This window comes from Homo sapiens, chromosome 16 (genome assembly GCF_000001405.40).
Source record: "Homo sapiens chromosome 16, GRCh38.p14 Primary Assembly".
NCBI classification, from domain to species: domain Eukaryota; kingdom Metazoa; phylum Chordata; class Mammalia; order Primates; family Hominidae; genus Homo; species Homo sapiens.
Genome location: NC_000016.10, coordinates 67,905,191 through 67,921,452, shown reverse-complemented (window position 1 = coordinate 67,921,452; position 16,262 = coordinate 67,905,191). Strand labels below are relative to the sequence as shown.

The 16,262-nt window shown below is 52.4% G+C and overlaps 1 protein-coding gene across 1 annotated transcript in view, besides 3 other annotated features; it reads right to left on the bottom strand.

Annotated features, from left to right (window-relative positions):
• Positions 1–16,262, bottom strand: part of PSKH1 (protein serine kinase H1) — a 36,423-nt gene that overhangs the window by 8,224 nt on the left and 11,937 nt on the right. The window contains exon 2 of the mRNA NM_006742.3: positions 11,747–12,773. Within this exon, the coding sequence (NP_006733.1) occupies positions 11,747–12,703 (957 nt within the window). The 5' untranslated portion in view covers positions 12,704–12,773. The remainder of the gene's footprint in view (positions 1–11,746; positions 12,774–16,262) is intronic.
• Positions 1,556–2,061: an enhancer, noted in NCBI's record as "H3K27ac-H3K4me1 hESC enhancer chr16:67953295-67953800 (GRCh37/hg19 assembly coordinates)". NCBI's record gives its function as "activates a minimal SCP1, AML or CMV promoter by ChIP-STARR-seq in primed H9 embryonic stem cells {active_cell/tissue: H9 hESC(primed)}" and the evidence as "EXISTENCE:reporter gene assay evidence [ECO:0000049][PMID:30033119]".
• Positions 5,214–5,737: an enhancer, noted in NCBI's record as "H3K27ac-H3K4me1 hESC enhancer chr16:67949619-67950142 (GRCh37/hg19 assembly coordinates)". NCBI's record gives its function as "activates a minimal SCP1, AML or CMV promoter by ChIP-STARR-seq in naive H9 embryonic stem cells {active_cell/tissue: H9 hESC(naive)}" and the evidence as "EXISTENCE:reporter gene assay evidence [ECO:0000049][PMID:30033119]".
• Positions 11,011–11,223: a silencer, noted in NCBI's record as "fragment chr16:67944133-67944345 (GRCh37/hg19 assembly coordinates)". NCBI's record gives its function as "represses an EF-1alpha promoter that drives an FKBP-Casp9 reporter gene in an ReSE screen in phorbol 12-myristate 13-acetate-treated (for megakaryocytic differentiation) K562 erythroleukemia cells {active_cell/tissue: K562(+PMA)}" and the evidence as "EXISTENCE:reporter gene assay evidence [ECO:0000049][PMID:32094911]".

Sequence of the window (16,262 nt, the reverse complement as noted above, 5' to 3'; positions counted from 1 at the left end):
CAGGTGCATGCCACCATGCCTGGTTAATTTTTTGTATTTTTAGTAGAGACGGTGTTTCACCGTGTTAGCCAGGATAGTCTTGATCTCCTGACCTCAAGATCTGCCCGCCTCGGCCTCCCAAAGTGCTGGGATACAGGCGTGAGCCACAGCACCTGGCATTATTTTTTTTTTCTTTTTTTGAGACGGAGTTTTGCTCTTGTTGCCCAGGCTGGAGTGCAATGGAACCATCTCACTGCAAACTCTACCTCCTGGGTTCAAGCAATTCTCCTGCCTCAGCCTCCCAAGTAGCTGGGATTACAGGCATGCACCACAATGCCCAGCTAATTTTGTATTTTTAGTAGAGATGAGGTTTCACCATGTTGGTCAGGTCGGTCTCAAACTCCTGATCTCAGATGCCACCCACCTTGGCCTCCCAAAGGGCTGAGATTACAGGTGTGAGCCACCGTGCCCAGCCTTTTTTTTTTTTTTTAACTTCCTCCCATCCTAATTTCTGAGGCAGTTTGGAGGCTCAGTGACTGTAACCATCTCATCCACACTGCAGTCTCTGTCCCTGGAACCCCAGGCTTAGGGCCAGTGGTAGGTCAATATGGGATGGAGGAAGAATGAAGAGATGAATGTGACTAAGCCTTCTGCTCCAAGCTGGCTGGGCCACAAGGGAGCAGAGCTCTCTGGGCACCACACATCTACCGAGGGACGTCAGGCACGATGGAGAAGGGTAACCTTGTGTGATGGGAGGACTGACTAGGGAAGGTGAGCTTGGAGAGGCACAGCCAGTGAGGATGGCTGGACCAGGTCACCATCAGCTATGCCATGCAATTGAGAGCCAGCCTCCACCTCAGTAGGTGTGGGAGGAGGATGAGCATGGGATGCTATGAGTGGATCTAAAGAGGTCAGGGCTGGGCACAGTGGCTCACGCCTTTAATCTCAGCACTTTGGGAGGCCGAGGCAGGAGGATCACTTGAGGCCAGGAGTTCAAGACCAGGCTAGGCAACATAGACCCTATCTCTACAAGAAACCTAAAAAATTAGCCCGGTGTGGTGGCCCACACCTGTAATCCCAGCTACTCGGAAGGCTGAGGCAGGAAGATGGTTTGGGCCCGGGAGTTTAAGGTTACAATGAACTATAATCACACTACTGCACTCCAACTCTTGTTCCTCTACAACAAGACCTTGTCTCTATTAAAAAATAATAATAAATAAATAAAGAGGTCAGAATGTGGGAGAGATACAGTCCAGCAGCTCCCAGAGGAACTTGAGGGCCCAGAAGCGACAGAGCCTGTGAAAGGCAGTGCTCTCCAGGTGGAGACAGACAATGAAAAGACAGGAGAGGGAGGGGATGGCTGACGCACCAGGGATGGCTCTGAGTGCAAGCCACCACACCCTGCTCTTTGTTGGCCAGGCCTCAAGGGCTGGAGGTGGAAAAAGTGATGAAAGGCAGCTGTGACCCAGGGTGACGTGATGCTATGGGTGGTCAGCAGGAACGGCTGAATGCAGCAGCGTGGCGGGTGGGTCTGCTCCTGCCACTACAGGGAAGTTGCTGCTTTCTGGGGTGTATGCAACCAGGGCAGCAGTGACAAAGGGAAACCTAGAGGACAGGGCTCTGGGGAGCCCAGTGGTGGCACAGAGGTGACACAAGATGGGGCTGCTGCTCTTCTCCACTCAGAGCTTCCTCTGGCCTCACATGGAGAGAGCTTCCTCTGCCTTCCTGCCAGAGGTCTCCAACCAAGGGCAGGTCCCCAGCCACAGTGACCAACTGAGGGTCCACTGCCTCCATCCAGTGGCCCAAACCATGCCACCTCCCAGTGACTAGTCAGGAATCCAGCCTGAGGGCATTGGCTCCTGCAGTGAAGGAGGGAGACTTAATCTGTTGAACACTTCGTGTTTTGGTGAAGTGGGGATGGCTTTTCCCAAGGGAACCTTCCTGGCCAGGTATGGGGGCATCTGATCATCCTCATGGGATCCTCACACACAGACAGCACAAGCATCCAGCACTTGACATGCAGCAGCCCCAGCAGGCTGGCAGGGAAGAAGGGCTTAGGGACAGATGCCTCATAGCAAAGAATTCTAAACTGATTTGTGTTTGCTCGTGCTGTCAGCTATTGAGACAGTCGTGGGAAAGCCATCCTCTGACTCTGGGAGCAGGGGTCAGTGAGAAGAGAGTTGAGCTGATGGGTCCATCACAGTCCCCACCCACACTGAAGGTGAGAAAAGTCAGGCAATTAAAGCATCCAGGAGAATCCAAGCATAAGCCAGGAAACACGCTCCCCGCTTCCCTGCCTCCACTCTGCCACCAGCATATACATTTGGTCTCCTGCTCTCCAGACACCCGGACAGCGCTCCCCATGACTCTGGGATGAGGTCCTATCCCTGCTCACATGGCTGCTCCTTGTGACATATGCGGGGAGATGAGGGGCAGGGAGGGAGACAGAAAGTCAGAGCATAGGACCAGGCTGCATAACCAAGCCCCGTCACCTAGAGAGCACTGAGACATGCCACATTCTCTGCATCTCATTTTATCTTCTACATCCCAAGGCATGTTAGAGTCACTTTAAGAAGTGGGGAGGTCGAGTGTGGTGGCTCACACCTGTAATCCCAGCACTTTGGGAGGCCAAGGCAGGCAGATCACCTGAGGTCAGGAGTTCCAGACCAGCCTGGCCAACGTGGTAAAACCCCGTCTCTACTAAAAATACAAAAATTAGCCAGGTGTGGTGGCTGGCACCTATAATCCCAGCTACTTGGGAGGCTGAGGCAGGAGAATTGCTTGAACCCAAAAGGTGGAGGCTTTGGTGAGCCGAGATCACACCACTGCACTCCAGCCTGGGCGACAGAGTAAGACTCCATCTCAAAAAAAAAAAAAAAAAGAACTACAGGTGGTCAAGCTCATTGCCCCTTCAGGTATACTTAGCCCCAGATCAATGTATGGTCAACCTGCAGACCAGACACCCAACCCTGGGAGGCCACCTCCCACCAGCCCTTGTCACCCAGGTAGCAGCAGAGTGGCTATGAAGGTGGGCTTCCTCTCCCAACAGTACTCTGTCCCCTGCCCAGCAGCACTCACAAGGCTCTGTGAGAAATTCTACCCAAGCCCACCTGTTCCTAGTACAGTCACCTGGGCTCACCCACAGCTCAGAGACTGGCCAAGCAGAGGAGGGTGATAATTCAGGATGCTGAATGCAGCAGACAGCAAAGCTCCTAATGGCATCACTCTAATATCAATCCTACAAGAGCCCCTTCATCCGTCCTGCCTCTAGGAATAGAACTCTTGACAAAAGCACTGACATCAAGGATGTCACATTTCATGTCAAGTGAATCACAGACTCTCTGCATTGGAGGACCCTGACAGTTCTCTAGCATGAGTCTGTAGCTGATGACTCACCTTCTGTGTCATCCTTTAGAAACAGCTCCTCCAGGCCTCCTGTGATAGGAAGCCGCCTCTCAAGGTGACTGTGTCCTCAAACTGCTCTCACATTCACACAGGCCTTCGCTACCTCTCCCAACCTGTGTCTCCCCACCACTTCCAGCATGCCCTCTCCACTCCAGCGTGCCCTCTCCACTCCAGTGCCTCTGGGTGCTGGGTAAACATTCAGATTTTTCCTTTCCAGTCATCTCCTCCTCAGCATTTACCCCTCTTCCAAGAGTCTTGTATTTGCCCTAAAAGTTGACAAGCACACACCAGCCCTGGGCCTTTAAATCCTCCCCCTGCCTGTGCCCACAGGCAGCTGTGGCCAGCAGCCCCCTAAGCGCATTGCCAGCAGGCTCTCTGCTTCCTCCTGGAGTCTGGCCCCTTGAGGGGAGCACTCCACTGGCTGCACAGCCTGTCTGCCTGCCAGCAGTCACATTTGGGACGCTTCCCAGGGCATCACCAATAGCCACTGGTGCTTCCCTCAGGAGAAGCCAAGAGAAAATTCCCCCACCAGTTATCACTTATAAATACTGCAGTTCAACCCAGCATACAGGTACCACTGTGCACTAAGCCTGGACACGACAGTGGACAGCATATGTATTGATGTACATGCTGTCCTCAAGGACCCTACAGGCTAGACAGGAGAGATGTGTCCACTGATCAGCAGCCAGAAAGCACTGAAACAAGAAACCAGCAACGTGCTGAGGCACACATACCAGGGAGAGCAGACTGCAGCACTAGACAGGCCAAGAACTCTGAAGCCAAGACAGCCTGGAATCAAATCCCAGATGTGCCACCCTCCAGTCGGGAGACCATGGCCAAGTTATGTAACCTCACCATCCTCAGTTTCCTCATCTGTAAGGTGGGGGATTACGTACCACCTGGCAGGGTTGTCATAGATTGGAGATGGGGGGTGTAGAACATTCAGCCCTGGGTCTGCTACTTAGTGGGCACCACACAATGGCAGTAGGCAGCATTATTTCTAAAGGAAACAACTAAGACCGATACTGGGAGCAGCGTGAACAGTTGAGGCAGAAGCTTGGTGTGGAGAGTGAATGGGGGCAATGGCTCAGGCCTGTGGTGTGCAGGGAGTGGGGTGGGGTCTAGGGCATGGGCTTCAGGCTGGGGGATCTGGAGTGCCAGGATGGTAGGCAGGACCCCACATGCTCTCCAGGTCAGAGGGTAGCCTGGAATCCTCTCCAAGTCTGCCCATACAAGCTGATGTCCCTCCTGCAGAGCTAGGACTCTGCTCCATACTCCTTCACCTCCTATACTGTGGCTTACATATGCCATGTGGATCCCACTCCCTGGGATCCCTGATCTGCCCCAAACATCCCCAGGAGGACAGGATGGAATTATTCCAGTAGCCTCCAGCTAGCCTTCCTCCTGCCAGGCTCCATTCCCACTTTCTGCTGCCTTCCTCCTCCATTACCCAGAACCCAGAGGGCTCCTCCCACAGTGCAGAGGGCTCCCAACAACAAACACCAGACCTGCCCCAGCCTCTTCAACCTCTGCTCTGTCACTCCCAATCTCCTGTTTATTCTGGAGCACTCAGCAATGCTCCCTTCTCTGGGCCTCCTCCTTCTCAAAACTCATCTTCTGCAGGAAGCTTTCTATTCAAGTCCATGGATGCCACTGAGCCTGACAGAGGACTGGGGCTGCATGGACAGAGCTTGCAGGAAATAGGCACACCAGACCCGGCCTGGTGTACAGGGGAGAGCACTCTATGGGGTCAGGGAACAGGAAAGGTGCCCCTAGAAAGGCACCAAGCACCACGAGACACTCGCTGGTGAAGAATGCATACCTCCAAACGCTGCTGCGTCAGAGGTCCTTCATTCACACAGCAACAACCCCCTCATCATGGAACACTCTCTCTCTCACAGGTTATCCTGGCAGAGGCTTGCTCACTTACATGGCCTTCCTAATGGCAAACACCTATTACACATATAGGACAGATGGCTGGAGTGGGTGGGGTCAGGGCCCAACCACCTGACCTGAGCACCATAGTCCATGTTCCAGACTGCCCAGGCCCAGTGGCTCTATGCCAAGGCCTGTGTTCACATGTGTCTGCCAATGCGGGTTCATTCTATGGCCATTCCCTATTCTAGTTCCTTCTCCCCAGGCAATCTCAACCTCTAGGGATAGGAAGAACAGGCCTTCACGTCTCTTGCATTTTCCCCAGGTGTGAGCAGGTGTGCTTGTGGGTGGGCAGTGGCCAGGAGAACAACAATAACAAAAAATGCCTGTCCTAGTGTCCTGGGATAGAGCTATAAAAGCATGCCAGGTTGCTGGCAGGAGCTTGAAGGAGGTGCTGCCTCTGCTTACCAGGAGACCGTCTAGCTGTGAAGTGAGTGGCTGGAAGGAGTGATTGCTGGGTCCCATTCTAGCGATGTCTGTCCTCACCTCCATGCAGAAAAGTAAAGAGAAACCAGGGCTCTGCCAGGGAGTGGCAGAGGCTGGTACTTCTCAGACTCCTGATGTTTATGCACATCCCCTGGAATCTCATTAAAATGTAGATTCTGATTCAACAGGTTTTGTGGGGCCTGAGGGTCTGCTGGATGTTCTCCAGCTGAGAGAGCCTGATCTCATGATAAGGACCCCTCCCCCAGGAAATGTCCCAGACGGATCCCTCCCAACCCAGAGCTCTCCACAGCGGGTGATAGAATCTGATTTTTGGGGTCAGGCAAGCTCCTGGTCACAGATAAGGGCCACCAGAACCTGCCAGGATTTGCCTCTGGAGCTGGAAACTGATGCTTTTCAGCTCCAGGTAAAGGGTAGTGGGAGCAAAGGCTGAGCAGTGCCTCTCCAACACACACACACACACACACACACACACACACACTCTCTCTCTCTCTCACTCACTCACTCATTCACTCACTCATTCACTGTGAGCTGCAGAGTCCTGCCCTGTGATTCCAGCAGAAGAACAACAGAATCTAAGGACCCAGTCTTTCGGCTACAGTAGGAGCGGGCAGGAACCCACTCCCCACCCCATTCGTCATTTTCCAACCCTCAGGTAATCAATAGCCAGTTAGCAAGACTGTGCAAGCTCCAATTAGATTAGCTGCCAGGTCAACGACTGCCAGAATCAGGAACTCAGGCAAACCTACAGGCTTGTAGCAGAGTCCTTCCTCTGTCAGCGTATCTTGGGAAATCTCTCTCCCTCACTCCTGGGCTAAGTTCAATGCCCCCTCTGCCAGCTGGACCCTCAACAGCCTGGCACCATGCAGTGCTCCCAGAACACAATCAGCTTCTCAAGCTTCAGACATTCCCAGATCTATCTTAAAATTTCAGTTTCACCGGGTGCGGTGGCTCACGCCTGTAATCCTAGCACTTTGGGAAGCTGAGGCGGGCAGATCACCTGAGGTCAGGAGTTTAAGATCAGCCTAGCCAATATGCCGAAACCCCGTCTCTACTAAAATACAAAAATTAGCCGGGCATGGTGGCACACTCCTGTAATCCCAGCTACTCGGGAGGCTGAGGCAGGAGAATCGCTGGAACCTGGGAGGTGGAGGCTGCAGTGAGCTGAGATCGTGCCACTGCACTCCAGCCTGGGCGACAGAGCGAGACTCCATCTCAAAGAAAAAAAAAAAATTCAGACCGGACACAGTGGCTCACGCCTGTAATCCCACCACTTTGGGAGGCTGAGGCAGGCGGATCACCTGAGGTTGGGAGTTCGAGACCAGCCTGACCAACAAGAAGAAACCCCATCTCTACTAAAAATACAAAATTAGATATCTGGGCATGGTGGCGCATGCCTGTAATCCCAGCTACTTGGGAGGCCGAGGCAGGAGAATCGCTTGAACCCAGGAGGCGTAGGTTGCAGTGAGCCAAGATCGCCCCATTGCACTCCAGCCTGGGCAACAAGAGCGAAACTCCATCTCAAAAAAAAAAAAATTCAGTTTCAGCTACAACTTCACGTGGTTCTCCAGAGCCTGCTATTAGGACAACTGAACTTCCCAAGTACCCTGCAGGGTCCTCTGACGGACCACAGCTATATATGAACCTGTCCCTCAGGCCATTGCCCCCAGGCCTGCCTCCTGCTTTCTCCCTCCTATACTTCTGTAGCTATCATTCCCTTTTTCTTGGTCTGACTCCTCACAGCCATGCTCCAAATTCCAGGTTCCCTCTTCTCTAAGACTGTCCCTCACCACCCCAGCCCACTTTTAAGGCACCTGCCTAAAAAACCTGCTCCTAAAGCATGTTCTTATAGGTCAGTGTTATCAACACCACCTGGTGTTTATTAGAAATGCAGACCCTCAGGCCCTACCTAGACCTATTAAATCAGAATCTACATTTTAACGAGATTCCAGGGGATGTGTATGAACATCAGGAGTCTGAGAAGTACCAGCCTCTGCCACTCCCTGGCAGGGCTCTGGTTTCTCTTTACTTTTCTGCATGGAGGTGAGGACAGACATCGCTAGAATGGGACCCAGCAATCACTCCTTCCAGCCACTCACTTCACAGCTAGACGGTCTCCTGGTAAGCAGAGGCAGCACCTCCTTCAAGCTCCTGCCAGCAACCTGGCATGCTTTTATAGCTCTATCCCAGAACACCAGGACAGGCTTTTTAAAAAAAAAAATTTTTTTTAAGACAGGGTCTTGGCCAGGTGTGGTGGCTCACATCTGTAACCCCAGCACTTTGGGAGGCCAAGGCAGGCAGATCACCTGAGGTCAGGAGTTTGAGACCAGCCTGGCCAACATGGTGAAACCCCATCTCTACTAAAAATACAAAACATTAGCCGTGCGTGGTGGCGCATGCCTGTAGTCCCAGCTACTCGGGAGGCTGAGGCGGGAGAATCACTTGAACCTGAGAGGCGGAAGCTGCAGTGAGCCAAGATCGCACCCCTGCACTCCAGCCTGGGTAACAGGGCAAGACTCCGTCTTCACACAGGCTGGAGTGCAGTGGCACATTCACAGCTCCCTGCAACCTTGAACTCCTGGGCTCAAGTGATCCTCCCACCTCAGCCTCCTGAGTAGCTGGGACTACAGGCATGTGCCCACACCTGGCTAAAAAAAATTTTTTTTAAGAGATGGGGTCTCGCTATGTTGCCCAGGCTGGTCTCAAACTCCTGGCTTCAGGTGATCCTCCTGCCTCAGCCTCCCAAACTGTGCTGAGATTACAAATGTGAGCCACCATGCCCAGCCTGGGAGAGGATTTCTTTTTTTTTGTTTCTTTTTTTGAGACAGAGTTTCGCTCTTGTTGCCCAGGCTGAAGTGCAATGGCACAATCTCGGCTCACTGCAACCTCTGCCTCATGGGTTCAAGTGATTCTCCTGCCTCAGCCTCCCGAGTAGCTGGGATTACAGGCATGTGCCACCACGCCCGGCTAATTTTGCATTTTTAGTAGAGACGGGGTTTCACCATGTTGGTCAGGCTGGTCTCGAACTCCCAACCTCAGGTGATCTGCCCACCTTGGCCTCCCAAAGTGCTGGGATTACAGGCGTGAGCCACCGTACCCGGCTGGGAGAGGATTTCTTATTGCCAGTTTATAGCCACAGATTGTGCCAACCTGATGGCCAATCCATATCTGAGAACCAAGTAAACATCAAGGCATTGCCCCAACGTTACTGAGGGGATCATCATCAGGATAAAGGGGCTTGTCTTTAAATTGTTCCCTCTATCACCACCTGTGCCTGCTCCTCTCACTCTTCCCAGTGCCTTCCATAGACACCAAAAGCTCACACTTGCCATGATGATGCTGGGAACCAAACCCAAAGCTTTATCTGAGCCTTGAGTCAAATCTAATTAGACTGGAATGGTCCCGAGTGTAACAGTTAATTCACTGTTGGGCACTCCTGACTTTTAACTGAGTATAAGGGACTATTCTCTGGCTTCCCAGGCTCTCATTCAGTACCAGTATGGTCCCATTTACTGCTCAGTGCTATAAGCATGTGACAGCCAGATTTTCTGCAGAACCCACCTGTCCACATAAAATCTGAGAATGACAGTGGGCCAGGACTGAGTTCTCCACAAGGCTGACCACTCTGCAGTAAGCATCTAGTGGTCTACAGTGGCCCCTTCACCCCTAGGCCCACAGATCCCAGTTACTGGTATAAATCTTCACCACCTGCCTGACTCCTACGCAACGATCTCCTAAGAGTGGTACAAACAGATACCCTCCCTTGTGCCTGTGACAGAGTCAGCCTCAGGAGGAAAGCTTCCCTCCCTTCCTTGTGCCACCTTTGAGAGGCATGACATGGGGATGCCCCTAGAGAATGCCAGCCCCCTCCCCAGCAGGAGGAAGTCCCCGATGGACCCCATAGCCACATCCAGAAGCTGTCAGGGAAGGTGATACAGCACAGGACCTCAAGTGCTAAAGGCAAAGTAAGTGGTGTGAGGCTGTTGGGTGACTCTTTTTTTTTGGGGGGGACAGAGTTTCACTCTTTTTGCCCAGGCTGGAGTGCAATGGCACAATCTTGGCTTACTGCAACCTCTGTCTACTGGGTTTAGGTGATTCTCTTGCCTCAGCCTCCCGAGTAGCTGGGATTATAGGTGCCCGCTGCCACACCCGGCTAATTTTGTGTTTTTAGTAAAGAGGAGGTTTCACCATGTTGGCCAGGCTGGTCTTGAACTCCTGACTTCCAGTAATCCACCTGTCTCGGCCTCCCAAAGTGCTGGGATTACAGGCGTGAGCCACCGCACCTGGCCAGCTGTTGGGTGACTCTTGAAGGAAATGCTGGCTGGGGCCAGAAAAGGCCCAGCCCACACCCCTGGGAGGAAAGCTGGGCCACAGAAGGAAGCTGCTTCCAGAGCTCCTTCCCCTCCACAGAAGATTTACAAGAGGCATGGATAGCACCTCAGCAGGTCCATATCTGAAGGAAACACCCTATGGGGAGCCCCCTAGAAGAGGGGGTTCTCACTGCCTTGGCAAAATCTTGTCATCCTGCCAAGCTCACCTCCCTCCCACATAAAGCCGACACAGACTCTCTTCTTCACAGCCTTCCCAGCACACCACTAGGCTCCAGCTGCCATGCTTGCTGCTTCCTGCAGTCAGCCTTGTCTTTTACCCAGTCAGCATCCTTCCTAAGGACCAACCAGCCCTCACTTTTTCTGTACCTTCCATCAGCTCCCAACAGTGCTGAAACCTCACACATTTTTGGAGGCATCAGGACTATCAATGGATCCAAAGACACAAACTGACAGCCTGGCGGTTGAATGTGACCTGCAGGTTAGTGTTTGCTGGCGCACAAGAAGCTGCTTAAATATGTGAATCAGAATATTCTAACATTTTAAGATTAGATTTTCTGGCCAGGTGCAGTGGCTCACGCCTGTAATCCCAGCACTTTGGGAGGCCAAGGCCGGCGGATGACCTGAGGTCTGGAGTTCGAGACCAGGCTGGCCAACGTCGCGAAACCTCATCTCTACTAAAAATACAAAAATTAGCTGGGGGAGGTGATGCGGGCCTGTAATCCCAGGTCTGTAATCCCAGCCACTTGGGAGGCTGAGGCAGGAGAATCACTTGGACCCATGAGGTGGAGACTGCAATGAGCCAAGATTGTGCCACTGAACTCCAGCCTGGGCAACAGAGCAAGACTCCATCTCAAAAAATAAAAGATCAGATTTTCTGGTTTCTCTTCTAAAAAAAAATCAGATCTGGACACACGAGGTCCTCATTGTGTGGTGAAACTGGACAGTGATGAGAAGCTGCTCTCTGAGATGGGCATGTTCAGTCTAGCTTGGCTGGGGCCCCACAGAGCAGATGCTGGGAAGGCCCTGCCCACATCCTCTCAGCCCACCCCCTGAGCTCATCTGCAGCTGTGGCACACTGCTTGGTGCCTGGCAACAGCTTCCCACCGCCAGTGCCTGCATCTCTCTGCTTCTCTGCCTGAAGACTTTCTCTAGCACTAGTTGGTATCAGGACAGCCCAGAAGCACCAGAGATTTAGTGTCCTCAAAGAAATTCTCAACCCATGAAGTACAGGAGTCAGTGGATTAAAAAAAAAACAAAACAAAAAGAAACTCACGTTCCTGCTCTTTGGTGGTACAACTATGAGGCACATTCCACATGGTTATTACCAAGGTTCCCAGTGGCCCACAGTGGCAGTCCATTTCTCAATATACTCTACTGACTTTCTCCCTTCCTGCCTCACTTTTCCCACTCCTTCACTTTTAGTTACTCAAATCACATCCCAAATAAACTATCTGCTCCCAAGTCCTTGTCTCAGGGCTCACCTTGAGGGAACCCAAACTACATTCTGATAGTCTCACTTTGTCCCTTTTATATGACCTGCCTGGCCCTCACGAGCATGGCCCTGAGGACATACCTCTGACTGAGAGCTGCAGGATATACCTGCCCCCGCAGGTGCCTCCCCAACATCCAGGACAGGGGCAGGACAGACTCACCTCCCCAGAGTAACTGTACTTGCCCCTGAGGATCTGCCGGTACAGCCGGGTACGGTTGTCATCCTCAAACGGCATGGTGCCACTGAGTAGGATGTAGGCAATGACGCCCAGCGCCCACATGTCCACTGAGTTGGTGTATGGCTTGCGGACCAGGACTTCTGGGGCAATGTACTCAGGCGTGCCACAGGTGGTCTTCATCAAGCAGTCATCACCCTTCTTGCGAGCACTGGCCAGGCCGAAGTCGGTGATGATGATCTTGGAGTCAGTGCCCGGATGGTAGTAGAGCAGATTCTCAGGTTTGAGGTCTCGGTGTGTGATGCCCAGTGCATGCAGATACCGGACGCCATCCAGCACCATCTGCAGCACCCGCGTGGCGTCACGCTCGGTGAAGGAGCCCTTGGCAATGATGCGGTCAAAGAGCTCTCCACCAGTGGCCAGCTCCATCACCATGTACACCCGCTCCTGTGTCTCGAACACCTCCACCAGCTGGATGATGTTGGCATGACGCACCCGACGCAGCACACGCAGCTCCGACTCACACACCTCCCGCCCCTCCCGGTACTTGGTCTCAATCATCTTGATGGCATACGGCTGCCGGGTTGCCCGGTGCTCTACACGTACCACTCGGCTGAAGCTGCCTCGGCCAATTAGGGCCTTGATGTCATACTTAGCTGTAACACGTGGGTCAAACTTGGCCCTGTACTTAGCTACCCTGGCCCTGCGTGGTGGTTCTGAGGGAGGCTCCGTGTGGCCAGCAGTCGGGGGACCGGGGCAGGGGTGTGCATACTGACTTGCTGCTGGGAACCCGGCTTTGACAGGGCCAACACTGTCCACCTCTGTGATGAAGTGCTTGTACACGTCACTCTTAGTGCCACTGAAGGGCTCCACCTTCTTGACCAGATCCAGCTGGACATCCTTGGGTGGCTCGGGAAGGACCTTGCTTGTCCCACAGCCCATCACGGACACGAGGGCATCCTCTCCAGCGAGGCTGGCAGGACCTGCTCTGAAGGCAGTGCCCCGTCTACACCTACACACAAAGAGAGAACAAGTCAGCACAGCCAGGCCAACTCTAAGGAAATCAGCCATCCTCCTCAGCCCTCCCTCTCCAGAAACTCAGTCTCATTAAAACCAAACTCCTGGCCAGGCGTGATGGCTCACACCTGTAATCCCAACACCTTGGGAAGCTGAGGCAGGTGGATTACCTGAGGTCAGGAGTTCAAGACCAGCTGGCCAACATGGTGAAAACCCATCTCTACTAAAAATACAAAAATTAGCCAGGCGTGGTGGCACACATCTGTAATCCCACCTACTCGGGAGGCTGAGGCACAAGAATCGATTGAACCCAGGAGGCGGAGGCTGCAGTGAGCTGAGATTGCACCACTGCACTCCAGCCTGGGTGACAGAGTAAGACTCTGTCTCAAACAAACAAACAAAAAACTGAAGTCCTGGCTCTCATTTATTTCCCTGGTCGGGAGTATGGCTTTGCTGTTCAAGAGCCCAGACTCAACACAGGGTCTAGCTGAAAAGATGGCCCGAGCTTCACGGCTTTGACTCATCTCCCTGGGCCTCAGTCTCATGCTGCTCTTCAACCCTGAGAGGGGGCAGGAACACGCATAGCCTCAGCTGTCAGGGCGCCCACCCTCCTCACTCCTCTGCCTGGGCCCCTTATCCTAGCCGAAGGCCCATGTTTCTAAAATGTTAAAATCATTCCTCTTATTACTCTTGACTCATCTTTTCTGAAATGGGGGTGTGAAGTGTTGGAGGCCTGCTCTCTAACACCATCACCCACCAGGGCTCAGAAAGCTGCTTCTCCAAGGCCTCCTTCATGCATATCTTTCCCAGCCCTTTAGGCTTCCTACAGGGGTTGGTCCCTCTGTAACAAGCAACAAACCACTTCCCTGGGGCTCTCCCTCATTCTCCTGGAAGGCTTCCACTCCTTTGCTAATGCACTGTCCCCACCCTGGCAGTTTAACTCCCTATTCCAGGGTCTCTCACTTCCCCAGCACACTACATGGATGGCTGAAATCCCACACAAGGCCCAGAGCTGCTGGAATCAACCCCAGTGAACTTGGGACCACAAGCCTCAGCACACTGCCACCAAGTGACTGCAAAACTCGCCTGGTCTTCATTCAAGAGTCAGAGGCGGGGCCGGGCACAGTGGCTCATGCCTGTAATCCCATCACTTTGGAAGGCCGAGGCGGGCAGATCACCTGAGGTCAGGAGTTTGAGATCAGCCTGGCCAATATGGTGAAACCCCATTTCTACTACAAGTACAAAAATTAGCTGGGTGTGGTGGTGGGCGCCTGTAATCCCAGCCACTTGGGGGGCTGAGGCAGAAGAATTGCTTGAACCCGGGAGGCAGAGGTTGCTGTGAGCTGACACTGCGCCACCCCACTCCAGCCTGGACAAAAGAGTGAGACTCCATGTCAAAAAAAAAAAGAGTTGGCCAGGCGCGGTGGCTCAGGTCTGTAACCTCAGCACTTTGGGAGACCGAGGCGGGCGGATCACAAGGTCAGGAGATCGAGACTATCCTGGCTAACACAGTGAAACCCCATCTCTACTAAAAATACAAAAAATTAGCCGGGCGTGGTGGCAGGCGCCTGTAGTCCCAGCTACTCGGGAGGCTGAGGCAGGAGAATGGCGTGAACCCGGGAGGCGGAGCTTGCAGTGAGCCGAGATCCTGCCACTGCACTCCAGCCTGGGCAACAGAGTGAGACTCCGTCTCAAAAAAAAAAAAGAGTCAGAGGGGCTTGAGCTCAGAGAGGACACTGGCAGTTTCACCCAGATTTAACTCAGGATGAAGATCAGGGTATCTTGCTTCCTTATGATGGGGATCCAGGGTCCCTTCCAGTTTGATTCCCAGACAGAGATGTTCCAACCATGAACTAAATACCCTGGGGCTGGTGGGGCCCTGGACAAGGTGCAGTGCTGAAGTTACTGCTTCCAGAGGTCACCACCTTTCTAATGAGAGGGCTCTTCTCTATGTCTGAGGACCCCAAGGGTTGAAGAGAGATAAGGATTTCCTATTAATTATGACACACAGGCTGGGCCCGGTAGCTCACACCTGTAATCCCAGCACTTTGGGAGGCCGAGGTGGGCGGATCACTTGAGGTCAGGAGTTCAAGACCAGTCTGGCCAACATGGTGAAACTCCATCTCTACTAAAAATACAAAAACATTAGCCGGGCATGGTGATGCACACCTGTAACCCCAGCTACTTGGGAGGCTGAGGCAGAAGAGTCACTTGAACCTGGTGGAGGTTGCAGTGAGCCAAGATTGTGCCACTGCACTCCAGCCTGGGCAACAGAGATCTGTCTTAAAAGAAAAAAAAAAAAAGGCTGGGCGCGGAGGCTCACGCCTGTAATCCTAGCACTTTGGGAGGCCAAGGCGGGTGGATCACCAGAGGTCGGGAGTTCGAGACCAGCCAGGCCAACATGGTGAAACCCTGTCTCTACTAAAAATACAAAATTAGCCGGGCTTGGTGGCACATGCCTGTAATCCCAGCTACTTGGGAGGCTGAGGCAGAAGAATTGTTTGAACCCGGGAGGCGGAGGTTAGAGTAGCCGAGATCGCGTGATTGCACTCCAGCCTGGGCAACAAGAGTGAAACTCTGTCTCAAAAAGAAAAAAAAAAATTATGACAAATAGAACTGGAAGAGAAATGAACAATTCAGATAAAACATTTATTATTAAATATCTAGTAGATACCAGGGGCACAGGAATAAATAAAACATGGTCCAAGGTAGGTTATATTTTAACACACACACACACAAACAAGTAGAACATGGTCAATAAACTCACAATCTAAATAAAGAGAAAAGCATAAAAACAAATAATTTTGTTTTTCTTTTTTTGAGATGGAGTCTCCTTCACCCAGGCTGGAGTGCACTGGCACGACCTCAGCTAACTGCAGCCTCTGCCTCCCGGGTTCAAGCGATTCTCATGCCTCAGCCTCCCAAGTAGCTGGGATTACAGGCACCTGCCACCTCGCCTGGGTGATTTTTGTATTTTTAGTAGAGAGAAAGGGTTTCATGTTGGCCAGGCTGGTCTCCAACTCCTGACCTCAAGTGATCCGCCAGCTTTGGCCACCTAAAGTGCTGGGATAACAGGTGTGAGCCACTGTGCCCAGCCAAAAACATAATTTCAGTATAACATGGTTAAGTGTTAAGCTTAAGAACCAATAGTATATAATGTAGAGTGAAGTCGGGGTTAGGAAAACCTTCCTGAAGGAGGTAACCTCTATGCTGAATTTTGAAGCAAGAATGAGTCAGATGAGGAAAGGTGGGAATGGTGTTTCAGGGAGAGAGAATAACACACTGCAAAGGCTCAGAAACCCAGAGTAACATCCTGCATCTAGGAATGGGCAGTTTGGTGGTACAAAGGCAGGGATGTGGAGATGAAGTTATAGAAGGTCAGCAGAAGGTGGTTATGGAGAGCAACACAAGTGAGGACCAGGACCTTCCTGGGAAGTGAAGGAGAGCTACGAAAGGGTTTACAAGAAAAGAGGCATTCAGATCT